The 22,998-nt window shown below is 45.3% G+C and overlaps 1 protein-coding gene across 6 annotated transcripts, besides 3 other annotated features; it reads left to right on the top strand.

Moving 5' to 3' along the window:
- Positions 294-423: a silencer, noted in NCBI's record as "silent region_7937". NCBI's record gives its function as "represses an Ori minimal core promoter by ATAC-STARR-seq in GM12878 lymphoblastoid cells {active_cell/tissue: GM12878}" and the evidence as "EXISTENCE:reporter gene assay evidence [ECO:0000049][PMID:35858748]".
- Positions 405-21,170, top strand: PRDM7 (PR/SET domain 7). Of its 6 annotated transcripts, NM_001098173.2 has the most exons (11): positions 405-510; positions 1,741-1,894; positions 2,262-2,385; positions 2,713-2,820; positions 10,826-10,875; positions 13,968-14,124; positions 15,234-15,335; positions 15,544-15,815; positions 16,217-16,284; positions 17,113-17,395; positions 19,202-21,170. In NM_001098173.2, the coding sequence occupies exons 2-11, from the start codon at positions 1,826-1,828 to the stop codon at positions 19,445-19,447; spliced, it is 1,479 nt and encodes a 492-aa protein (NP_001091643.1). In that variant the 5' UTR covers positions 405-510; positions 1,741-1,825; the 3' UTR covers positions 19,448-21,170. The 6 variants fall into 6 exon arrangements, with proteins under 6 accessions (NP_001091643.1, XP_016878372.1, XP_011521131.1 ...); XM_017022883.2 differs by lacking the exon at positions 2,262-2,385; XM_011522829.2 differs by lacking the exon at positions 17,113-17,395.
- Positions 19,092-20,291: an enhancer, noted in NCBI's record as "P300/CBP strongly-dependent group 1 enhancer chr16:90123853-90125052 (GRCh37/hg19 assembly coordinates)". NCBI's record gives its function as "activates an origin of replication core promoter dependent on BRD2, BRD4, P300/CBP, MED14 and CDK7 cofactors, with strong dependence on P300/CBP, by STARR-seq in HCT116 cells {active_cell/tissue: HCT116}" and the evidence as "EXISTENCE:reporter gene assay evidence [ECO:0000049][PMID:35650434]".
- Positions 19,642-19,691: an enhancer, noted in NCBI's record as "active region_11433". NCBI's record gives its function as "activates an Ori minimal core promoter by ATAC-STARR-seq in GM12878 lymphoblastoid cells {active_cell/tissue: GM12878}" and the evidence as "EXISTENCE:reporter gene assay evidence [ECO:0000049][PMID:35858748]".
- Positions 21,171-22,998: the final 1,828 nt, after the last annotated feature.

Here is a 22,998-nt window from a genome sequence, read left to right as displayed (position 1 = left end):
TCAAAAAGACACAGTGTCCCCTCAGAAGACCCAGGCCTGAGGAGGGAAGTGAGGAGCAGCCCCGACTCCCGGCTCAGTCGGAAACACCGGCGTTGGGGAAAACCAAGTAATAAAACCGCGAAACTGCGCCTGTGCGCGGGAGGATTCCAGATGGTTGCACGCAATCCCAGCGGGGTGGGGCAGGACCTTCCCCAGGGGCGGGACCTTCCCCAGGGGCGGGAAAAGCCAGGCCCCTCCCCGACCTCCTGAGCCCAAAACCGGGTTGTGCCCATGACTGACAGGCAAGGCTCCGCCCTACTCCCCGCCCCTTTAGCACCTCCTGACTGCCGATTGGCGGGCTCGCCTTGGTCTCAACGCTGATTGGCTGGCAGCACTACAGGCTGGCACCCACCGCGTCTCACCTCCTGAGCGGCTCCGAGAAGACGCCCGGCCAGGGTGAACACCGCGGCAGGAGAAAACGGGAGACTGTGAAGAGCATGGGGAGCCTTTGTCGTGCAGCGTGAAACCCTTGTAAACCCTCATCCCAAGACCTTCAAATTTTAGCCTAGGAGACCCCAGATCCCCTCACCCTGAGAAGCTCCAAATCCTCTCAGCCTCAAAAGACCCCAAATCCTGCCACCTTGAGGGATTTAAAATCCCCTCAGCATGAAACCCCCAAAGTACCTCAGCTTCAGAGACCCCAAATCCCTTCACCCAGAGGAACATCGAATCTCCTAATGCTTAGATCCCCAAATATTCTGAGCCTGAGGAGCCACAATTTCCCTCACCCTAAGGCACCCCAAATACCTCAGCCTGAGGAACCCTAAATATCTCAGAGAGACCAGATTTCCCCAACCACAGATAACCTAAATAGCCTGAAAACTCAACCCCGTCAGCTTCAAGGACCAAATAACCTCAGTGTCAAACACCCTAAAACCCATTAATGAGAGACCCAAATCTCCTTTACCCGAGACCCAGAATTTCCTCAGCCTCAAATATCCCAAATCCTTTCATCCCGAGGAACCCCAAATCCCCTTAACCTGATGAATCTCAAATCCTGTCAACTAGAGCACCCCAGATCTCTTCAGCCTAAAAGACCCCTAATCTCATCCTGAAAAACCACAAATACTATCAGCCTGAGGGATACCAAAGCTCCTCAGCTCAAGATACTCCAAATTCCCTCAACCTGAGAAACCCCAATTTCTTCAGTCTAAGACATCTCAAATCCCCTCAGCCTGAGGGACCCCAAATCTCAACCTGAGAGATAGCTTCCCCTTAGAGATGCAGACTGCTTTACTCCTGGATTTTTCTAGAATCCCCAGGTAGAGATCCCCAAATCCTGTCTATGCAAAATGTTCATTTTGCCTCGCTAAAACAGAACCCTGCTCCTCAGTGTGACCCAAGTCCCAGCAGTCAGGGGGCCTCAAGGTCTCCTTGAGACTCCTCTGGCTCTCACACCTCAGGACTCCCCTCAAACACCGGTAGCTACAACCCTCCAGGCACCTGTGCCACCCTTCTCCAAATGAGCCAAGCTGCAGGGGAACTAAAAGAACAAAATCCAGCTTACATTAGGTGGCAGCTCATGGCCAGTGGAGGCCTTCCCATCCCATCAGTACCCCCAGACCTCCCTGGGGTGCTCGAGACCTCACCAGGAACCCAGTCTTCCTGCTCTGAACACCCCAGCCAGATGGAGAAGACAGAGCCTTGTTCTGGGTAGTGCTCAGGGCTGTTGCCCCATCTCAGCACCTTCTCCTTCCACAGGAGCCTTTGGCCTAGGAGCTGGGAGACTCAGGGGCCCTTCCCACACTCAGAATTGGAGCAGGGCCTTCTAGACAGTCCCAGCACCATGAGCCCTGAAAGGTCCCAAGAGGAGAGCCCAGAAGGAGACACAGAGAGAACAGAGCGGAAGCCCATGGTGAGAAGTCGGGGAGGCGAAGCCAGACTCCCAGCAGGAGCTGATCTCTGGAGTGCTGCAGACTCCTGGCCTGTACCCTTGGGTGACTCTGTCTGAATGTGCATGGAATGGGGGCAGCTGGTCCTGGCCAGGACATGGGGGAGAAAAGAACACTAGCATCAGCGACTGCTCTGTGTCAGCAGAGAGCTAGGAAAATGCTCAGTGTCTGCTCAGTTAAACAGGACACAATCTGGAGAAGGAGGGAAGGTCTTTATGTTTCACAGAGACTCCCAGAGGCCCCAGGCTATGCCCTACACGCAGGGTAGAGGAAAAGGACCAGCTCGATGTGTATTAGTAAATCACTGATGGAATCTGTTACTTCCTCTAGGTCAAAGATGCCTTCAAAGACATTTCCATATACTTCACCAAGGAAGAATGGGCAGAAATGGGAGACTGGGAGAAAACTCGCTATAGGAATGTGAAAATGAACTATAATGCACTGATTACTGTAGGTAACAGGAAGTGCTGGGCACAGACCAGCCTGGGCGATATAAAACAGGTCTTTGGTCCCTATATTATTTTAATTATCAGGTGGCGGCATCTGCCCACAATTCCCTTTTGCACGGAGACAAATCTGGAGGGAAATATTGTTCTTTTGCGTCAGTGCAGGGTTGTGTGTGGATACTGACCATGCAGAGGTCACATCTTGACCTTGTTCAAGACTCTCCCAGCTCATCAGACTGAGCAGCACTGGCTTTGTGGTGCTTTCCATTGCCACTGCCCTTTGTTCCTCATCCCAGCTCTTCCGTTTCAGAGCAAAATTTTTTGCTTCTTTTCAGGTCTCAGAGCCACTCGACCAGCTTTCATGTGTCACCGAAGGCAGGCCATCAAACTCCAGGTGGATGACACAGAAGATTCCGATGAAGAATGGACACCTAGGCAGCAAGGTAAGAGGGAAGGGAAGGAGGATTTTTTTTTTTTTAAAGACGGAGTTTCGCTCTTGTTGCCCAGGCTGGAGTGCAATGGCGTGATCTTGGCTCACGGCAACCTCTGCCTCCCAGGTTCAAGCGATTCTCCTGCCTCAGCCTCCCAAATAACTGGGATTACAGGCATGCGCCACCACACTCAGCTAATTTTTTGTAATTTTGTTTAGTAGATATGGGATTTCTCCATGTTGGTCAGGCTGGTCTCGAACTCCTGACCTCAGGTGATCTACCCACCTTGGCCTTCCAAAGTGCTGGGATTACAGCCATGAGCCACCACACCTGGCCTATTTTTATTTTTTTTAAGACAGAGTCTTGCTCTGTCATCCAGGCTGGAGTACAGTGGTAGAATCTCGGCTCACTGCAGCCTCCACCTCCCAGGTTCAACAATTCTCCCACCTCAGCTTCTCGAGTAGCTGGGACTGCAGATGTGCACCACTTTGCCCAGCTAATTTTTGTATTTTTTGTAGAGATGGGGTTTCACCATGTTGGCCAGGCTGGTCTCGAATTCCTGGCCTCAAGTGATCCGCCTGCCTTGGCCTCCCAAAATGCTGGGATGATGATGATGATGATGATGATGATGATGATGATGATGACGATGATGATTGTTACTATTATTACAGACAAGGTCTCACTCTGTCACCCAGGCTGGAGTGCAGTGGCACAATCATAACTCACTGCAGCCTGAAACTCCTGGGCTCAAGTGTTCCTCCCACCTCAGCTTCCCAAAGTGCTGGGATTACAGGCATGAGCCACCGTGCATAGCCCCCAGTAAGATTTAGAAGTGACCTCCTGGCCAGGCATGGTGGCTCACACCTGTAATCCCAGCACTTTGGGAGGCTGAGGCAACCATATCACTTGAAGTCTGGAGTTTGAGACAAGCCTAGCCAACATGGTGAAACCCCATCTCTATTAAAAATGCCAAAAAAGATAGCTGGGCATGGTGATGGGTGCTTATAATCCCAGCTACTCAAGAGGCTGAAGCTGGGAAATAGCTTGAACCCAGGAGGTGGAGGTGGCAGTGAGCCGAAATCGTGCCACCACCCTCCAGCCTGGGCAACAGAATGAGAAGACTCCGTCTCGGGGGGAAAAAAAAGTGACCTCCTGAAACCGGCCTCGGTTTAGGTCTCAGCTACATTTCAGAATTTAACAAAGGAAAAAGAGTCTTCCCTCAAAAACATAAATGTTCAACAAACAAGCACAATGTAATCCCAGCACTTTGGGAGGCCGAGGCAGGCGAATCATGAGGTCAGGAGATCAAGACCATCCTGGCTAACACGGTGAAACCCCATCTCTACTAAAAATACAAAAAATTAGCCAGGCACGGTGGCGGGCACCTGTAGTCCCAGCTACTCAGGAGGCTGAGGCAGGAGAATGGCATGAACCCGGGAGGCGGAGCTTGCAGTGAGCTGAGATAGCACCACTGCACTCCGGCCTGGGCGACAGAGCGAGACTCCATCTCAAAAAAAAAAAAAAATTGTCATTCTTTTTTTAAAAAAAAGAAAACATTGTTTTTGCTAAACAATGTTAATAAATCACAGAACAAGTAAAGAAAACAATTAAACTGCAAATCCACAAAAAAGCTTTCTAACACCAATCTCATAATAGTTATTGAGTTAAATGTCTTAGAAGAAATAATATTAAGTAAAGATACATCATTTATGTACATTTCATCATACTATATGATCCTCTTATACCAAAATGTATCTACTTCTTTGTCTCGATTCTGGAGCGGGTTTGAGAGAGCTGTTTAGTTGCCCTGATCTTTCCCATATGTCACTGACCAGAGACAGCATCAAGTAGATAAAATAATGTACCATAATTATAAAATAGAAGTGCAAAGCTCATTTCCTCTTCTACTGCTTGGTTAGGAGAGTTTAGAAGTAAAAACAGTCAATCTGCCCAAACTGGAGAAAGCAACTTGGATTGGGTCTACGATTTCCCCATCTGTGGATTTGAGATTCCTTAAGACCTTAATGTAATGTAAGAGGAATGAAAGGCCAGCGTTTGCTTTTCTGCAAATGTTTTGACATGAAAAGAATGTCTCTTTAGAGGGAATCTATCTCCCGTGGTTTACCACACATCTATACATCTTTATCTGAACTCAGTTAAAATCCCCAATTTAAGTCAATTTATTTTTTATTGTGGAAATCAAACAACATATATTTACTCTTCTAACAATTTTTAAGCGTACAACTTTATTAACTGTATGCACACTGTTGTGCAATAGATCCCTAGAACTCTTTATCTTGCATGACTAAAACCCTAACCCATTGAACAATAACACTCCATTTCTTCCTCCCTCCAGCTCCTGGCAACTGCAATTCTGTTTCTATGAATTTGGTTACTTTAGATACCTCATATACGTGGAATCAGCCATGAAACATTTGTCTTTTTGTGACTGGCTGATTTAATCACTTAGCAGAATGTTCCCAAGATTCACCCATGTCACAGCATGTGACAAGATTTTCTTCTTTTTTAAGGCTGAATAATATTCTACTGCATGTATATACCACATTTTGAAAATCCATTCATTTGTCAATGGATGTTAGGTTGCTTCGCCTCTTGTCTATTGTGAATAATGCTGTAATAACTATCAGTGTGCAAATATCTCTTTGAGATCGTTTTTAATTCTTTTTTTTTTTTTTTGAGATGGAGTCTCGCTCTGTCGCCCAGGCTGGAGTGCAGTGGCGCAATCTCGGCTCACTGCAAGCTCTGACTCCCGGGTTCACGCCATTCTCCCGCCTCAGCATCCCAAGTAGCTGGGACTACAAGCGCCTGCCACCACGCCAGGCTAATTTTTTTGTATTTTTAGTAGAGACGGGGTTTCACCATGTTAGCCAGGATGGTCTCGATCTCCTGACCTCATGATCCGCCTGCCTCATGGGCTCGATCTCCTGACCTCATGATCCGCCTGCCGCGGCCTCCCGAAGTGCTGGGATTACAGGCATGAGCCACCGCGCCCAGCCTTTAATTCTTTTTAATATATTATATACCCAGAAGTGGAATTTCTGGATCAGAAGGTAGTTCTGGTTTTAATTTTTTGTGGAAGCGCCATACTGTTTTTTTACAGTGTCTGCACCATTTTACATTCCCACTACTATGGTTTGAATGTGTGGAAGTTCATGTATTGGAAACTTAATTGCCATTGTAACAGTATTAAGAGGTGGAGCCTTTAAGAGGTGATTTGGTAATGATAGCTCCAACCTCATGAATGGATTAATGCCATTATCACAGGAGTGGGTTAGTTATTGCAGGAGTGGGTTCCGATGAAAAGGATGAGTTGGGCCCTTCCCTGTCTTTCTCTCTGTCTCACATGCACACTTACCCTTCTACCATGTCATGATGCAGCTTGAAGACCCTTGCAAGATGCCAGTGCCATGCTCTTCAACTTCCCAGCCTCCAGAACCACAAGCCAAATAATTATTTTCTTTATAAATTACCCACTCTGGGCCAGGCACAGTGGCTCACGCCTGTAATCCCAGCACTTTGGTAGGCCAAGGCAGGCAGATCACAAGGTCAGGAGTTCGAGACCAGCCTCGCCAGCTTGGCAAAACCCCATCTCTACTAAAAATACAAAATTAGCCAGGCATGGTGGCATGCACCTGTATTACCAGCTACTTGGGAGGTTGAGGTAGAAGAATCACTTGAACCCGGGAGACAGAGGTTGCAGTGAGCCGAGATCACACCACTGCACTCCAGCCTGGGCAACAGAACGAGACTCCATCTCAAAAAAACAAACAAACACATAAATTTCCCACTCTCTTGCATTCTAGGAAAGCAGCAGAAAACAGACTAAGCTACCCACCAACAATAAGCAAGTGTTCTAATTTCTCCACATCTTCGCCAACATTGCTATTTTCTGGTTTTTTGACAGAGGCTATCATAACAGGATAAGGTGATATCTCATTGTGGTTTTAATTTTCATTTCCCTAATGATTAGTGATGTTAAGCATATTTTCATATGCTTCTTGGCCATTTATGTATCTTCTTTTGAGAAATGTCTATTCAAGCTTTTTGCCCATTGTATTAGTCAGCCCAGGCTGCCACAAGAAAATACCACACATTGAGTGGCTTAAACAACAGAAATTTGTTTTCTGACATTTCTGAAGCCTGGTAGTAAAAAATCAGAGTGCCAGCATGGTTGGGTTCCAGTGAGGGCTCTCTTCCTGACTTGTAGTCAGCCTCCAGCTCACTGTGTATTTACATGAATTATTTGTGTGCCAACAGCAGGAAGGAGAAGAAATTTCTCTCTTCCTCTTATAAAAGCAATAATACCTACTAGAAGATTTTTTTTTAGACAGCCTCATTCTGTTGCCACAGGCTGGAGTTCAGTGGTGCAATCTCGGCTCACTGCAAACTCCACCTCCCGGGTTCAAGCAATTCTCCTGCCTCAGCCCCCCACATAGCTGGGACTACAGGGGCACATCAGCTAATTTTTGTATTTTCAGTGGAGATGGGGTTTTACCATGCTGACCAGGCTGGTCTCAAACTCCTGGCCTCAAGTGATCTGCCCACCTCAGCCTCCCAAAGTGCTGGGATTACAGGCATGAGACACCGCACCCAACCAAAAGCACTAATGTCATCCTAAGGGTCCCACCCTCATGACATCACCTAGCCCTAATTACCTACCAGTGGCTCCATCTTTAAATACCATCATATTGAGGTATTAAATGTGCTTCAGCATATGAATTTGGGGGAAACAAAATTCAGCCCATAGCACCCATTATTTAATTATTTGTTTTGTTGTTGTATTATAGGAGTTCTTCATATATTCTGGATATTAACTCTTTCTTCGTTTTTTTGTTTTTTGTTTTTTTTTTTCAGACAGAGTTTCGCTCTTGTCACCCCGGCTGGAGTGCAATGGCGTGATCTCAGCTCACTACCACCTCCCCATCCCAGGTTCCAGCGATTATTCTGCCTCAGCCTCCCGAGTAGCTGGGATTACAGGCACACACCACCACACCCAGCTAATCTTCTGTATTTTCAGTAGAGACAGGGTTTCACCATGTTGGCCAGGCTGGTCATGAACTCCTGACCTCAAGTGATCCATCTGCCTCGGCCTCCCAAAGTGCTGGGATTACACCCATGAGCCACAGTGCCTGGCCTGGATATTAACTCTTTATCTTCTTTTTTTTGAGACAGAGGTCTCACTATGTTGCCCTGGCTGGTCTCGAACTCCTGGGTTCAAGTGATCCTCCCACCTCAGCCTCTGAATAGCTGAACTATAGTCATGTGCCACTGCACTCAGCAACATTAACCCTTTATCAGATACATGGTTTGCATATATTTTCTTCCACTCTGTAGGATGCCTTGACACTGTGTTGATTGTTTTCTTTGCTACACAGAAGTTTTTAAGTTTGATGTAGTCCTACTTGTCTATTTTTGCTTTTATTGCTTATGCTTTTGGTGTCATATACAAGAAGTTATTGTTCATTTCAATGTCATGAAGCTTTTCCTCTGTGTTTTCTTCTTGAAGTTCTGTACTTATAGACCTTACATTTCAGTCTTTAATCTATTTTGAGTTAATTTTTATATGAGATATGTGGTAAGAGTCTGTCTTCTCTTTTGCATATGTATATCCAGTTTTCCCAACACAATTTCTTGCAGACTGTCCTTTCCTCCATTGTGTAGTCTTGGCATCATTGCTGAAGATCATTTGACCATATACACGAGGGTTTATTTCTGGCCTCTCTATTCTGTTCCATTGGTCTATAGGTCTGTCTTTATACCAGTACCATACTTTTCTGATTACTGTAGCTTTGTAATATGCTTTGAAATCAGGAAGTGTGAGGCCTTCAACTTTATCCTTCTTTTTCAAGATTGTTTCGGCTATTCTGGGTCCTTAGAGATTCTATATGATTTTTTGGATATTTTTCCATTTCTGAAAATAATAGCATTGGCATTTTGATAGACAGGACATTGAATCTATAAATCATTTTGATAGTATGAACATGTTAACAATATTAAGTCTTCAAATCCACGAACACAGGATGTCTTCCATCTATTTGTGTCTCCTTAAATTTCTGTCGGCACTGTTTTGTAGTTTTCAGTGTTCAAGTTTTTGCCTCCTTGGTTAAGTTTATTCCTAATTATTCTATTCTTTTTGATGCTATTGTGATTGGGATTTTTTTCTTAATTTCCTTTTTGGATTGCTCATTTTTACTAAATAGAAACACAACTGATTTGGGGTGTTGCTTTTGTATGCTGAATTCATGTATTACTTCTTTTTTTTTTTTTTTTTTGAGACGGAGTCTCGCTCTGTCATCCAGGCTGGAGTGCAGTGGCATGATATCGGCTCACTACAAGCTCCACTTCCAAGGTTCATGCCATTCTCCTGCCTCGGCCTCCTGAGTAGCTGGGACTACAGGCGCCCGTCACCACACCCAGCTAATTTTTTGTATTTTTAGTAGAGATGGGGTTTCACCACGTTAGCCAGGATGGTCTCGATCTCCTGACCTCGTGATCCCCCCACCTCTGCCTCCTAAAGTGCTGGGATTATAGGCTTGAGCCACCATGCCCAGCCCAAATTCGTGTATTACTTCTAACAATTTTTTGGTAAAATCTTTATAGTTTTATTTTTTATTTTTATTTATTTTTTTAGATGGAGTCTCGCTCTGTCGCCCAAGCTGGAGTGCAGTAGCATGATCTCGGTTCACTGCAACCTCTGCCTCCCAGATTCAAGTGATTCTCCTGCCTCAGCCTCCCGAGTAGCTGGGACTATAGGTGCCCGCCACCATGCCCAGCTAATGAATCATTATAGTTTTCTGCATGTAAGATCATGTCATCTGCAAACAGAGATAATTTTACTTCTTCCTTTCCATTTGGATGCCTTTTATTTATTTTACTGGCCTAATTGCTCAGGCTACGACTTACAGGACTATGTTGACTAGAAGTAGCAAGACTGGAAATCCTTACCTTGTTTATGACCTTAGAAGGAAGGCTTTCAGTTTTTCATCATCGACTATGATGTTAAAAATTTGGCTTTTCGGCTGGGCGCGGTGGCTCACGCCTGTAATCCCAGCACTTTGGGAGGCCGAGGTGGGAGGATCACAAGGTCAGGAGACCGAGACCATCCTGGCTAACACGGTGAAACCCCATCTCTACTAAAAATACAAAAAATTAGCTGGGCGTGGTGGCAGGCACCTGCAGTCCCAGCTACTCAGGAGGCTAAGGCAGGAGAATGGCCTGAACCCAGGAGGCAGAGCTTGCAGTGAGCCGACCTCGCGCCCCTGCACTCCAGCCTGGGTGACAGAGCGAGACTCCATCTCAAAAAAAAAAAAAAAAAAAGGGCTTTTCTTATATGACCTTTTTACGTCGAGGTGATTTCCTTCTATTCCTAGTTTGTTCAGTGTGTTTGTCATGAAAGGTCAATTTACGTTTTAAAAATTAATGTAATAAACACCTTATTAGGTATACCTTTACAGATAGGCTGAAACAAAGATGAAGTTTTATCTATTTTTTTAAATCTTAAGAAAATTAGCAATGCCCCCAATAGAAGCATAGGCCTTAATGATACTTCAGAAAACATTTCCAAATTGCCCTTGGATAATACTTGGAATCATCACTCTCTGATTCAGAATTCTCTGTCTCTAATGAGAAACTCCAGAGTTAGGCCAAGCATAGTGGCTCACGCCTGTAATCTCAGCACTTTGGGAGTCCGAGGCAGGTGGATCACCTAAGGTCAGGAGTTCGAGACCAGCATCGCCAACATGGAGAAACCCCATCTCTACTAAAAATGCAAAAATTAGCTGGGTGTGGTGGTGCACACCTGTAGTTCCCAACAACTCACAAGGCTGAGGCAGGAGAATTGCTTGAATCCGGGAGGCGGAGGTTGCAGTGAGGGGAGATTGTGCCACTGCACTCCAGCCTGGGCGACAGAGGGAGACTCCATATCAAAAAGAAAAAAAAATCTCTAGAGTTTGGAAACATTTACCAACCAAACCACTGATTTCTCATCACCTCTTAGTCAAACCTCCTTGGATGGCCTTCAGAGGAGAACAGAGTAAACACCAGAAGGTAAGTATCTCCCAAATCCTGTTGACAAGAAACCTTCCTCATAGATCCAAATACAGGTAAGAGAAGGAGAATGTACAGACTATCCTAGGAACTACTGCCTTCCTCTCCTGATCTCTTTAGCGCAGTGTCTGCCATCATCATTATTTTAAGAGTTAATAAGAACAGCAACAATAATCGCTACCATGGGTTATTTTCTCAGTATTTTCAGACTTTTTTAAGCATTTTACATGAATAAACTTTACATATAGTACCTATTCAACTTCACATATAGTACCTATTAAGTAGGTACTATAACTATAGCCATTTTACAGGTTAGGAAACTGAGGTATAAAAATGTTCAGTTATATCCCTGGGATCACATTCAGTGTTGGTGCAGTCTAATCCAAAACTCCTTCTCTAAAGCACTTACAAGATCATTAAAAGTTTCATAGTTTTATAAAGTTTATGCTGTCTTACCCATATGTCTTTACATCATTCGTCCAATTGATTTTTCAACCTCAGTTTTTCTCTGTTGTAGTAAAGTCAGATTTGCACTAAAACACTCTGATTAAGGGAAGCTTCCAAGTAAATAGACAATTCATACTGTGGATGGTACCAGAAGAAGATAGGGTCCCTACCCTCATAAGGGACCCATTCTGATCAGAGGAAGCAGCTTCCAGCCCTGAAGGGTTTCAGGTTCGAAGATTGAGAAACAACAAATAAGAAAATGGTTTAGGACTTCATATAGGTTACACCCTATTAAGTAAAAATATATTCTTCTGGAACCAATTTCAAATGCTCATTCCTGTAGAAGGCAGTAACAGCTCCTTCCTCTGGGCTCCAATTAGGGAACTGTCATGTTATTTGGAATTATTTGTTTAGCCTGCCTGCTGCCTCTTCATTGTGAGCTCTTCAGGAGTCTAGTCCCTTCCTGATTCTTCTTAGAACTCCCAAGCCCAGCTCAGGGCCTCTGAGAGCCTCCTGAGTGTTTTCTGAATGATTGATTCCAAGCTTATGAATTAAACTATAAGTAACAGGGTCAAGGAATGCTGAAAATATCTTTGAGTTAGATTTCAACTGTAGAGATATATCAGGACTATGAGATAATTTTCGTTTGTTATTTTTCTACAGGGGCAGGGGGTAGTTTGAGACAGAGTCTGGCTCTTGCGCCAAGGCTGCAGTGCAATGGCTCAATCTCGGCTTACTGCAGCCTCCATCTCCTAGGTTAGTGTGATCCTCCTGCCTCAGCCTCCTGAGTAGCTGGGACCACAGGCATGCACCACCATGCCCAGCTAATTTTTATGTGTTTTGTACAGGCAGGGTTTTGCCGTGTAGCTCAGGCTGGTCTTGAACTCCTGGGCTCAAGCCATCCTACTACCTTGGCCTCCCAAAGTGCTGGGATTACAGATGTGAGCCACCGCACCCAGTCTGTGAGAAAAATTATTTTTTTCTTTTCTTTTCTTTTCTTTCTTTTTTTTTTTTTTTTTTCAGACAGAGTTTCACTCTTGTTACCCAGGCTGGAGTGCAGTGGCGCGATCTCGGCTCACTGCAACCTCCACCTCCTGGGTTCAAGTTGTTCTCCTGCCTCAGCCTCCCGAGTAGCTGGGATTACAGGCGCCCGCCACCACACCCGGCTAGTTTTTTGTATTTTTTGTAGAGACAGGGTTGGCCAGACTGGTCTCAAATTCCTGACCTCAGGTGATCTGCCTGCCTTGGCCTCCCAAAGTGCTGGGATTACAGGTGTGAGCCACTGTGCCTGGCGAGAATAATTATTAATCTCACATTCATACTGTATTAAGTAGCTCAAAAAACACTTTGGTGAACATTATTATCTTTCATGTTCACTACAATATTAAGAATTAGTGCCGGAGGCAGTGGCTCACACCTGTAATCCCAGCACTTTGAGAGGCAGAGGTGGGCAGATTACCTGAGGTCAGGAGTTCAAGACCAGCTTGGCCAACATGGTGAAACCCCATCTCTACTAAAACTACAAAAATCAGCTGGGCATGGTGGTGGACACCTGTAATCCCAACTACTCGGGAGGCTGAAGCAGGAGAATCGCTTGAACCTGGGAGATGGAGGCTGCAGTTAGCTGAGATCGTGCCACTGCACTCCAGCTTAGGCAACAGAGTGAGACTCCCTCTCAAAAAAAAAAAAGAATTAGCATGGGCTGGGTGCGGGGGCTCTTACATATAATCCCAGCACTTTGGGAGGCTGAGGTGGGTGGATCACTTGAGGTGAGGAGTTCTAGACCAGCCTGGCCAAACTAGCGAAACCCCGTCTCTAATAAATATACAAAAATTAGCTGGGTGTGGTGGCACGTGCCTGTAATCCTAGCTTCTCGGGAGGCTGAGGTAGGAAAATCTCTTGAACCTGGGAGGTGAAGGCTGCAGTGAGCTGAAATCATGCCACTGCATTCCAGCCTAGGCAACAGAGCAAGACTCCTTTTCAAAACAAAACAAAACAAAACAAAACAAAACCATGTATGCCAACTTCTGGATCGGGAAACTAAAGAGAAATTAGCTAACAATACACCCTTATTCAAGCAGACAAGTAGAATTGGTACAGGAACTAACTAATCTAATTCAAAAGCCAAATATTCTTTCCAGGATATGGCAACATGCAACTTTGACTTCACTTTCTTAGTTGTCTAGATATATTTTTGCCAATCATCTCTTTGTTCTGTTCCGAACCTTACTGCCCTATTACCTCATTTTCCAGATGTGCTTTGTCCCTCTGTGCTTTTCTACATTTCCCCTTCCATCAAAAGTCTACTAGTTTATGGAAGATTCCCTCCTTCTCTCTGTAAGCCCTCATCCCCTTCTTTCACAGATCTTGCTGATTCTCCAGCTAGTCTTCCCAAGTATTCTTCCTCCTTCCCTTTAACTTACACAGAACGTTTTGAGAGGAAGTTGAAGGAAAGAGCCTTAAGACATGGGTTAGAGTCCCAGATTCACTACCCACTTAGACCTTGTCTTTTCCCTCTAGTATTTAGACACTCTAGGTATTTCCAAGGTTTGAACATTAACTACAGTCATATGAAAACATGTTGCAAGCCGTAAAGAACTAAATAAATGCACGTTGTCTTTTAATATGTGATTCTCACATTAAAGGGAATGCCCAAGGCGTCATTCAATAATGAATCTAGTTTGAGAGAATTGTCAGGAACGCCAAATTTACTGAATACAAGTGACTCAGAGCAGGCTCAGAAACCAGTGTCCCCTCCTGGAGAAGCAAGTACCTCTGGACAGCACTCTAGACTAAAACTGGGTAAGAAAAAATTTGAGGGGAATTTAGTCCCTCTATGTCCTCTAGAAAGGTTGGTGAGTATGGTCTACCTATGTGGGGTGGACTTTGGATAGGCCTGGGCTTAAGCTGGACTCAACTGTGAGACCAGAAGTTAGATGCAGTATTTTGTTAAAATTATTTATTTATTTGTTCACTGAGACAGAGTCTTACTCTGTCACCCAGGCTGGAGTGCAATGGTGAGATCTCGGTTCACTGCAACCTCTGCCTCCACGAAAATAGCGATTTTCATGCCTCAGTCACCCGAGTAGCTGGGATTATAGGTGTGCACCACCGTGCCCGGCTGATTTTTAGTAGAGACAGAGTTTCACCATGTTGACCAGGCCGGTCTCAAACTCCTGGCCTCAAGTAATCTGCTCAGCTCAGCCTCCCAAAATGCTGGGATTACAGGCTTGAGCCACCATGCCTAGCCTTGGATACAGTATTGAATAGCATGTAAGATCATTAACTTTGAAGTCACTCACTTGGGTTATAATCCACACAGAAGCATTGGGGCCTTGGGCAAATCTTATAAATTCCATGGGCTCCTGAATGGTAATCTGTAAAATGAGACCAAGTATATAGAGCTCATGTATTGTTTGAAATCATTAAATTAAATATAAATGAATTCATACATGTGAGGTGTCCAATAAGTACCTCTCTGATAATATATATTCTTTTGTGCGTTTCTACATTTCCTTTTCCATCACATGTCAACTAGTACATAGAAGATCCCCTATAGAGACTATACTTTCTTAGTGTTGTATGTCCAGGCCTTTGTTCAATGCCTAAGATGTAATGAACTCTCAAAAAATATTTTCTGAATAAATAAATGCATGAATGAACCATTTTGTAAGCAGAAAGGCTGGGAGGTTAATGGGATAATGAGAACAGCTAGAAACTAAAATTGAATAGGCATCTACAGTCAGTGTGGGTGTGGGGTCTAAGTCTCTCTGAAGCAGTAAACAGAGGGAGACTAGAGTATGTAGAAAGGTAGATGCTAATTTGATGGTAGGAGATTTCACATTTTCTTATGAAACAAGGACAAACACCCCAGACTCCCAATTTTACCCATCTACTCTTCTCCAACCTAGAACTCAGGAGGAAGGAGACTGAAGGAAAGATGTATAGCCTGCGAGAAAGAAAGGGTCATGCATACAAAGAGATCAGCGAGCCACAGGATGATGACTACCTCTGTGAGTGACCCTTTCAGCCACTCACACAGCTTGCTGTTATGTCCTGGTACAATAATTTCATCATTTGGCCCACAAATCATTCCCTTACTCGAATGAATTAAAGTACAGGATTGGGGCTAAATAATGTGAGTGCCACGCTCTTTCTGAAGCTCTTATATCAAGGAACATGCATTACAACTTTCCTAATCCCTGCTTCCCTCACTTCCAGATTGTGAGATGTGTCAGAACTTCTTCATTGACAGCTGTGCTGCTCATGGGCCCCCTACATTTGTAAAGGACAGTGCAGTGGACAAGGGGCATCCCAACCGTTCAGCCCTCAGTCTGCCCCCGGGGCTGAGAATTGGGCCATCAGGCATCCCTCAGGCTGGGCTTGGAGTATGGAACGAGGCATCTGATCTGCCACTGGGTCTGCACTTTGGCCCCTATGAGGGCCGAATTACAGAAGACGAAGAGGCAGCCAACAGTGGATATTCCTGGCTAGTAAGAAGAGCCTGCTGTTTCCCCTGTTCTGTCTTCCCACATCCCTTCTGTGCCTTTGATGGGACATCACCTTCTACATGTTAGGATATAGGTAGGGATAACATGGTTAGCTCTGTGTACTCAAGGGTCTTTGCATGAACATGGAACTCCTATTTAGAGATCACAGGGTACATGGGAGCAGAGTGGTACAAAGACAAAGAAGTGCATCCTCCCTTTTGGAGCTTCTGCTCTGATTGGACAAACCAACTCAGATGTGTAGATGATGACTAAGGTGCATGCCATGTGGTCTCAGTTGGCAGTTGAAGCTCTGCAGGTCCAAAGGCCATTGATGACCGTGGAGTAAAATAATTCTTCGGATTTTTACCCTCTAAAAAGTCTTTACCTTATTTTTTGAAACTCAGATCACCAAGGGGAGAAACTGCTATGAGTATGTGGATGGAAAAGATAAATCCTCGGCCAACTGGATGAGGTAAGGCCACTAGGTCTCTTAGTTTCAGAGAGAACCTCCATCTCTCACAAACCCGGACTTCCTTCCTTCTCATTATGCCTCCCTCAATGATTTTCACATCCCCTATTTCTATTTTTCTCCATACAATGCTGTTTTATACCATCAACTTTTAGAAATAAAAAATAAAAATATAGATATTATGATTTATTGGTATCAAAACACAAATATGTATGCTAGACAAAATTGAGGCACCAAGATAAACCTTGATAAGGTTAATTCATGCTTTAATTTATGTAATCCACATTTGTTAAACACTTAGTATGTTCCAGGTTAGGAAGTGAAGTTCACTACTTGAACAGAAGTGAACTGCAGGATGACCCAGCCCCTTTCCACAATGGGCTGTCGTTCTATCAGAGAATAGAAAAATGAATCAACTATTACTGTTCTATGTTATTGGGCCAAGAGAAAGAGACTTCTGAGTTTCTCTAGGAATCTGAAGAAGTCAGGTGAATGGCAGCTGAGTGAACTGTAGGGTGATTAGAGGAAGGCCTGTCAAAGAAAGATGGACTTGAGCTGAGTGTAGAATGATGTGAGCTAATCTAGAAGCAGAGCAACGTGATCAAGCACCAAGTTCTGTGGTATAAAACAGAATTAATTTAGAGTTTAGAGAAGCTAGAGGTCAATGTGTTTTATGGCCAATCAAGGTGGAGGTAAGTCTGGAGTTGGGCTTTGAAAAAATGGCTGATTAGGCACAGCAGGGAAGCATTCTAGGCAGGATGAGCATTGTAGTCATCCTGCCTGGAGGGAACTCACTGCCTCTTTCTTTCCCTTTGCCTGCCTTGACCCCAGGTATGTGAACTGTGCCCGGGATGATGAAGAGCAGAACCTGGTGGCCTTCCAGTACCACAGGCAGATCTTCTATAGAACCTGCCGAGTCATTAGGCCAGGCTGTGAACTGCTGGTCTGGTCTGGGGATGAGTATGGCCAGGAACTGGGCATCAGATCTTCTATAGAACCTGCCGAGTCATTAGGCCAGGCTGTGAACTGCTGGTCTGGTATGGGGATGAGTATGGCCAGGAACTGGGCATCAAGTGGGGCAGCAAGTGGAAGAAAGAGCTCATGGCAGGGAGAGGTAGGCATCACTATTACTCTTTTAAAAGGACAGGAAAGAAAGAATTATCCTAGAGAATTTTCATGATTGAACTCTTAAGTAGAGTAAAACGCCGTCTAAAGTCAGTAAAATTTTACATCAGTGGCTTCCAAAATTAAAGATTCATGTTATATGCCTTTGCCTCTTTGGAACAGTTTTTATATTTTTAAATCTTTGTTCCGATTTTATATTCAAAGTACTTCATGCACAAAGTATATAACAGCATACAGTGCTCAAAGACTTAAAGACAAAAATCAAGTTCTCAAACACCTACCAGCTCTCCCAACAAGGTAGTTTCTTCTGGCATTTCCTTGATATTTCTTAATGATACGCATATGTTGTTATTCATTCATTCATTATCTCAATTAGCTGTCATGTGAGTTCCTACTCTGTGCCAGACGATGTTGCAGGAAGTGTAAATACAGACTGATGAAGACAATCAAAAAAACTGCTCTTGAACAGATAACTTGTGAATTAGGGAACCGTACGAATACACACAGACATATGTGTAATATCAGACGGCGATTAGTGCTTTGAAGAAAATGAATCCAGAAAGAATACCTGGGATCAGTGTGAGACCTGGGATCGGTGTGAGAGCTGAGGTCAGTGTGAGACCTGGGGGTCAGTGTGAGACCTGAGGTCAGTGTGAGACCTGGGGGTCAGTGTGAGGTGACAGTAGAGTGTTGCAGGGGATTGTCAGGGAAGATTTCTCTTAGGAGACAGCATTTGAGAAGTGCAAGTGCCTGTGGGCCAAGGATTCCAGGCACAGGGCGCAGCTAGTGCAATGGTCCTGAGGCCAGAAAGAGTTCAGCTTTGGTTCATTTTTGGAAAATAGGCTGCCATGGGTCATCCCTTCAGAGCTGCTCCAGTTTCCAAGTGAGAGAAAATGGTGGGCAGGATGAAGGTGGGGAGCATGGCGGTAAGCCTGAGTAGGGATATATTTTGAAACAAGACTTCCTATTATATTTAAAATGGGTTCAGACTGAATGAAATAACTCAGACATGAATACTTGATGTGCAGCCTGACAAAGAGCATATTCTCATTTTATGATTTGTGGAATCTGAAACAGAAGCAGTCCATGCACCTAGTTGGCGCAGCAGGACCCACAGTCCTTTAGTCAGTGGGACCTGGACCACTCTGTGTTGGCCAACCTGAATCACACTTCCTGATGGAGAACCGGGCACATAACAGTCCTCAATTAAATATGTCCTTTTGAATGAGGATACTCAAATTCAGATTTGCTAACACATCTCTTTAACCACATTTGTGGATCTCCAGGCTGAGTGCTCCTAATAGATCCTTTTCCCCTCTTAGGAAGTCACTAAGGACAATCTCACCTAAGTCATCAAGAGTGTTATTTCTCAATAGAATAAAATAGCTGAAAACCTCGCGTCGCAAAAGTGCCCAGGGCCCAGGGAGGGAGCATGTGGCAGAGGTGATCAGGGAAGGCTTTACAGGACTTGGAAGATACCTGTGGCATGGGGGAAAGGTCACTGCAGTTCCATCTATGTAAGGAATGATGCTGCCCCTGATGCTGCTTGAGGTTACCCAGAGTCTGGCTGATACGTAGAAAAGGCCCAAGATGTGGGATTTCTGGATTTTTTAAGATGTAGTGAATAAAAGTGGAATGGAAAAATGGACTGTAAAGGTCCATCCAGCACTTGGTGGGAGAGAGCTTGCATTGTTAACATATGAAGAATGACTGGTTCTTCATTTGATCTTCATACCTTCATATGTAGTAAGGCCTGAACAAAACATCTACCCTGACCAAAAACTTCCTCTTTCAGAACCAAAGCCAGAGATCCATCCATGTCCCTCATGCTGTCTGGCCTTTTCAAGTCAAAAATTTCTCAGTCAACATGTGGAACGCAATCACTCCTCTCAGAACTTCCCAGGACCATCTGCAAGAAAACTTCTCCAACCAGAGAATCCCTGCCCAGGGGATCAGAATCAGGAGCGGCAATATTCTGATCCACGCTGCTGTAATGACAAAACCAAAGGTCAAGAGATCAAAGAAAGGTCCAAACTCTTGAATAAAAGGACATGGCAGAGGGAGATTTCAAGGGCCTTTTCTAGCCCACCCAAAGGACAAATGGGGAGCTCTAGAGTGGGAGAAAGAATGATGGAAGAAGAGTCCAGAACAGGCCAGAAAGTGAATCCAGGGAACACAGGCAAATTATTTGTGGGGGTAGGAATCTCAAGAATTGCGAAAGTCAAATATGGAGAGTGTGGGCAAGGTTTCAGTGATAAGTCAGATGTTATTACACACCAAAGGACACACACAGGGGGGAAGCCCTACGTCTGCAGAGAGTGTGGGAGGGCTTTAGCCGGAAGTCAGACCTCCTCAGTCACCAGAGGACACACACAGGGGAGAAGCCTTATGTCTGCAGAGAGTGTGAGCGGGGCTTTAGCCGGAAGTCAGTCCTCCTCATTCACCAGAGGACACACAGGGGAGACGCCCCAGTCTGCAGGAAGGATGAGTAAGTCATTAGTAATAAAACCTTATCTCAATAGCCACAAGAAGACAAACGTGATCACCACACACTTGCACACCCCAGCTCTGAGGTGGCTTCAGCGAAAGTCTGCTAACCCCTTACATTCCCCGAGAGTGTAAAGAGATCGGAAATAACTAATTAAACAAATCCGCCACTTTCATGACTAGAGTTGAGGAAGAACAGGGGATAGTTCTGTAAGTGTTCGGGGGACGTCAACATGTGTGGTTGTTTCCCGCACTGATCCCCTCCATTTTTTGTGTTTTGCCTCCTGTTCTAATTAATTTTGTCTCCATACATATCTGAACCCCAAGTGTGTACCTCATTCTTCCCTTATCACTGAAGGAAGGAAGAGTCCAGAAGGGCCACAGAGAACTCAAACGTTCAGTTCAAGTCTCCACAGGAATTCAACCCCAGAAAGACATAAACTTGGAGTCCATCTGGTTTAATTATTGGAGAATCGATTCCCAAGTCCAGGAAGAGAAATGTAGGGTTTTACAGAGTCGCAGCAGGAAAGAGAGCTCCCTGGTCTCCTGGGAAGTGTGACCTCTTCTAATGGACCCCTCTCCTCTGCTGCCATACTCCCCCTTGGCTCCCCCTGTCTCCTCTCCTGATTTCCTCCAATCTCTGTAGCCCCAGAAGTGAACGCCAGACAGGAACACGCATGTGTGTATATATGTGTTCACGTGTGCTATGTGTGTTAAGCCTGCATGCATGGGTGTGGGGGTATGTGCCCTCTGTGTACGTATCTGTGTGAGTGTGGGGGTTTCAAGGGTGTATTAGGAATAACGCTCAAAATCCTAAGGAAATTGAATACTCTGAGAGAAGAGAGACAGACCCTCTCATACTGTTTTATATTGTTTTATACTCAGAAAAGGAAAAAGAAGCAAAACTAAAGGCAGGTAGCCTGGCGCCTAGGAACCAGACCTGAAACCAAGGAACCAGACCCGAAACCAGGCCTGGGCCGGCCTGACCTAAGCCTGGTAGTTAAAATTCGACCCCTGACCTAGCAACTGATGTTATCTATAGATTATAGAAAGACATTGTGAAACTTCCCGGTCTGTTCTGTTCCACTCTGACCATCGGTGCATGCAGCCCCTGTCACCTACCCCCTGCTTGCTCAATCGATCACGACCCTCTCACGTGGACCCCCTTAGAGTTGTGAGCCCTTAAAAGGGACAGGAATTGCTCACTCGGGGAGCTCGGCTCTTGAGACAGCAGTCTTGCTGATGCTCCTGGCCGAATAAACCGCTTCCTTCTTTAACTCTGTGTCTGAGGGGTTTCGTCTGCGGCTCATCCTGCTACAAGAGCACTGGTTCAATTAGCTTTTAATATTTAACCTAACTACTCAGTCAGTGCTGAGACAGTTGTAATGGAGGCTGGTGTTAGTGAGACCTGGCCTGCCACAGCTACACTTAGCTCTCTTTCCTTTTCTTTTTTTTTTTCTGAGACAGAGTCTCACTCTGTTCCCCAGGCTGGAGTGCAGTGGTGTGATCTCAGGTCACTGCAACCTCCGTCTCCTACATTCAGTGATTCTCCTGCCTCAGCCTCCAGAGTAGCTGGGATTACAGTCACCCACCACCACACCCTGCTAATTTTTTGTATTTTCAGTAGAGATGGCATTTCACCATGTTGGCCAGGCTGGTCTCGAATGCCTGACCTCGTGATTCACCCATCTCAGCCTCCCAAAGTGCTGGGATTACAGGTGTGAGCCACCGCACCAGGCTCACTTAGCTCTTTTCTTCTACTAAAACATAATCTGAGAAGTAAAAATAAAATCATAAGCCCTCTGTATTATTCCATTTTCACATTGCTATAGAGAAACACCTGAGGCTGGGTAATTTATAAAGAAAAGAGGTTTAGTTGGCTCATGGCTCTGCTGTATAGGAAGCATAGTGGCTTCTGCTTGTAGGAAGGCCTTGGCAAGCTTCCAGTTATGGCAGAAGGCAAAGGGGAGGGAGACATCTCACATGGTGGGAGCAGGAGCAAGAGAGAGTGAGGAGGGCGATGTCTCACACTTCTAAATGACCAGGTCTCATGAAAACTCACTCGCTGTCATGAAAGCAGTACCAAGTGGGGATGGTGCTAAACCATTCATAAGAAATCCACCCCCATGATTCAATCACCTCCCACCACACTTCACCTCCAACACCGGGGATTACAATTCAACATGAGACTTGATGGGGACGCAGATCCAAACCATATCATTTCAACCCTTGCCCCCCAGATCTCATGTCCGTCTCCCATTGCAAAATACAATCATGCCTTCCCAACAGTCCCTCAAAGTCTTAACTCGTTTCAGCATTAACTCAAAAGTTCAAAGTTCCAAGTCTCATCTGACACAGGCAAATCCCTTCCACCTATGAGCCTGTAAAATCAAAAACAAGTTATGTACCTCCAAGACACAATGAGAGTACAAACACTGGATAAATATTCCCATTTCAAAATGGAGAAATCACCCAAAAGAAGGGAGCTACAGGCCTCATACAAGCCCAAAACCCAGCAGGGCAGTCATTAAATCTTAAAGTTCCAAAATAATCTCCTTTGACTCCATGTCCCACATCCAGGCATGCAAGGGGTGGGCTCCCAAGGCCTTGGGAAGCTTGGGCAGAGCCACTCTCATGGGCTGGCATTGAGAAGCTGAGGCTTTTCCAGGTACAGGGTGCAAGCTATTGGTGGGTCTGGAGGATGGTGGCCCCTTTCGCATAGCTCCAATAGGCAGTGTCCCAGTGGGGACTCTGTGTTGGGGCTCCAACCCCACATTTCCCCTCCTCTCCACTGCCCTAGTAGAGGTTCTCCATGAGGGCGCCGCCCCTGCAGCAGGCTCCTTCCTGGACATCCAGACTTTTCCATAGATCCTCTGAAATCTAGCCAGAGGTTCCCAAGACTCAACTCTTGCACTCTGTGCACCCACAAGCTTAACACCACATGGAAGCTGCCAAATCTTATGGCTTACACCCTCTGAAGCAGCCACCAGAGCTGTACTTGGGCCCCTTTGAGCCATGGCTGAAGCTGGAGTGGCAAGGATGCAGGGAGCAGTGTCTCGAGGCTGCCAGGGATCTGGGGCTGGCCCAAACCATTCAGCCCTCCTA

This window comes from Homo sapiens, chromosome 16 (assembly GCF_000001405.40).
Source record: "Homo sapiens chromosome 16, GRCh38.p14 Primary Assembly".
NCBI lineage: Eukaryota > Metazoa > Chordata > Mammalia > Primates > Hominidae > Homo > Homo sapiens.
The sequence above is the reverse complement of the archived record's forward strand: the minus strand, read 5'-3'. Positions and strand labels throughout refer to the sequence as shown.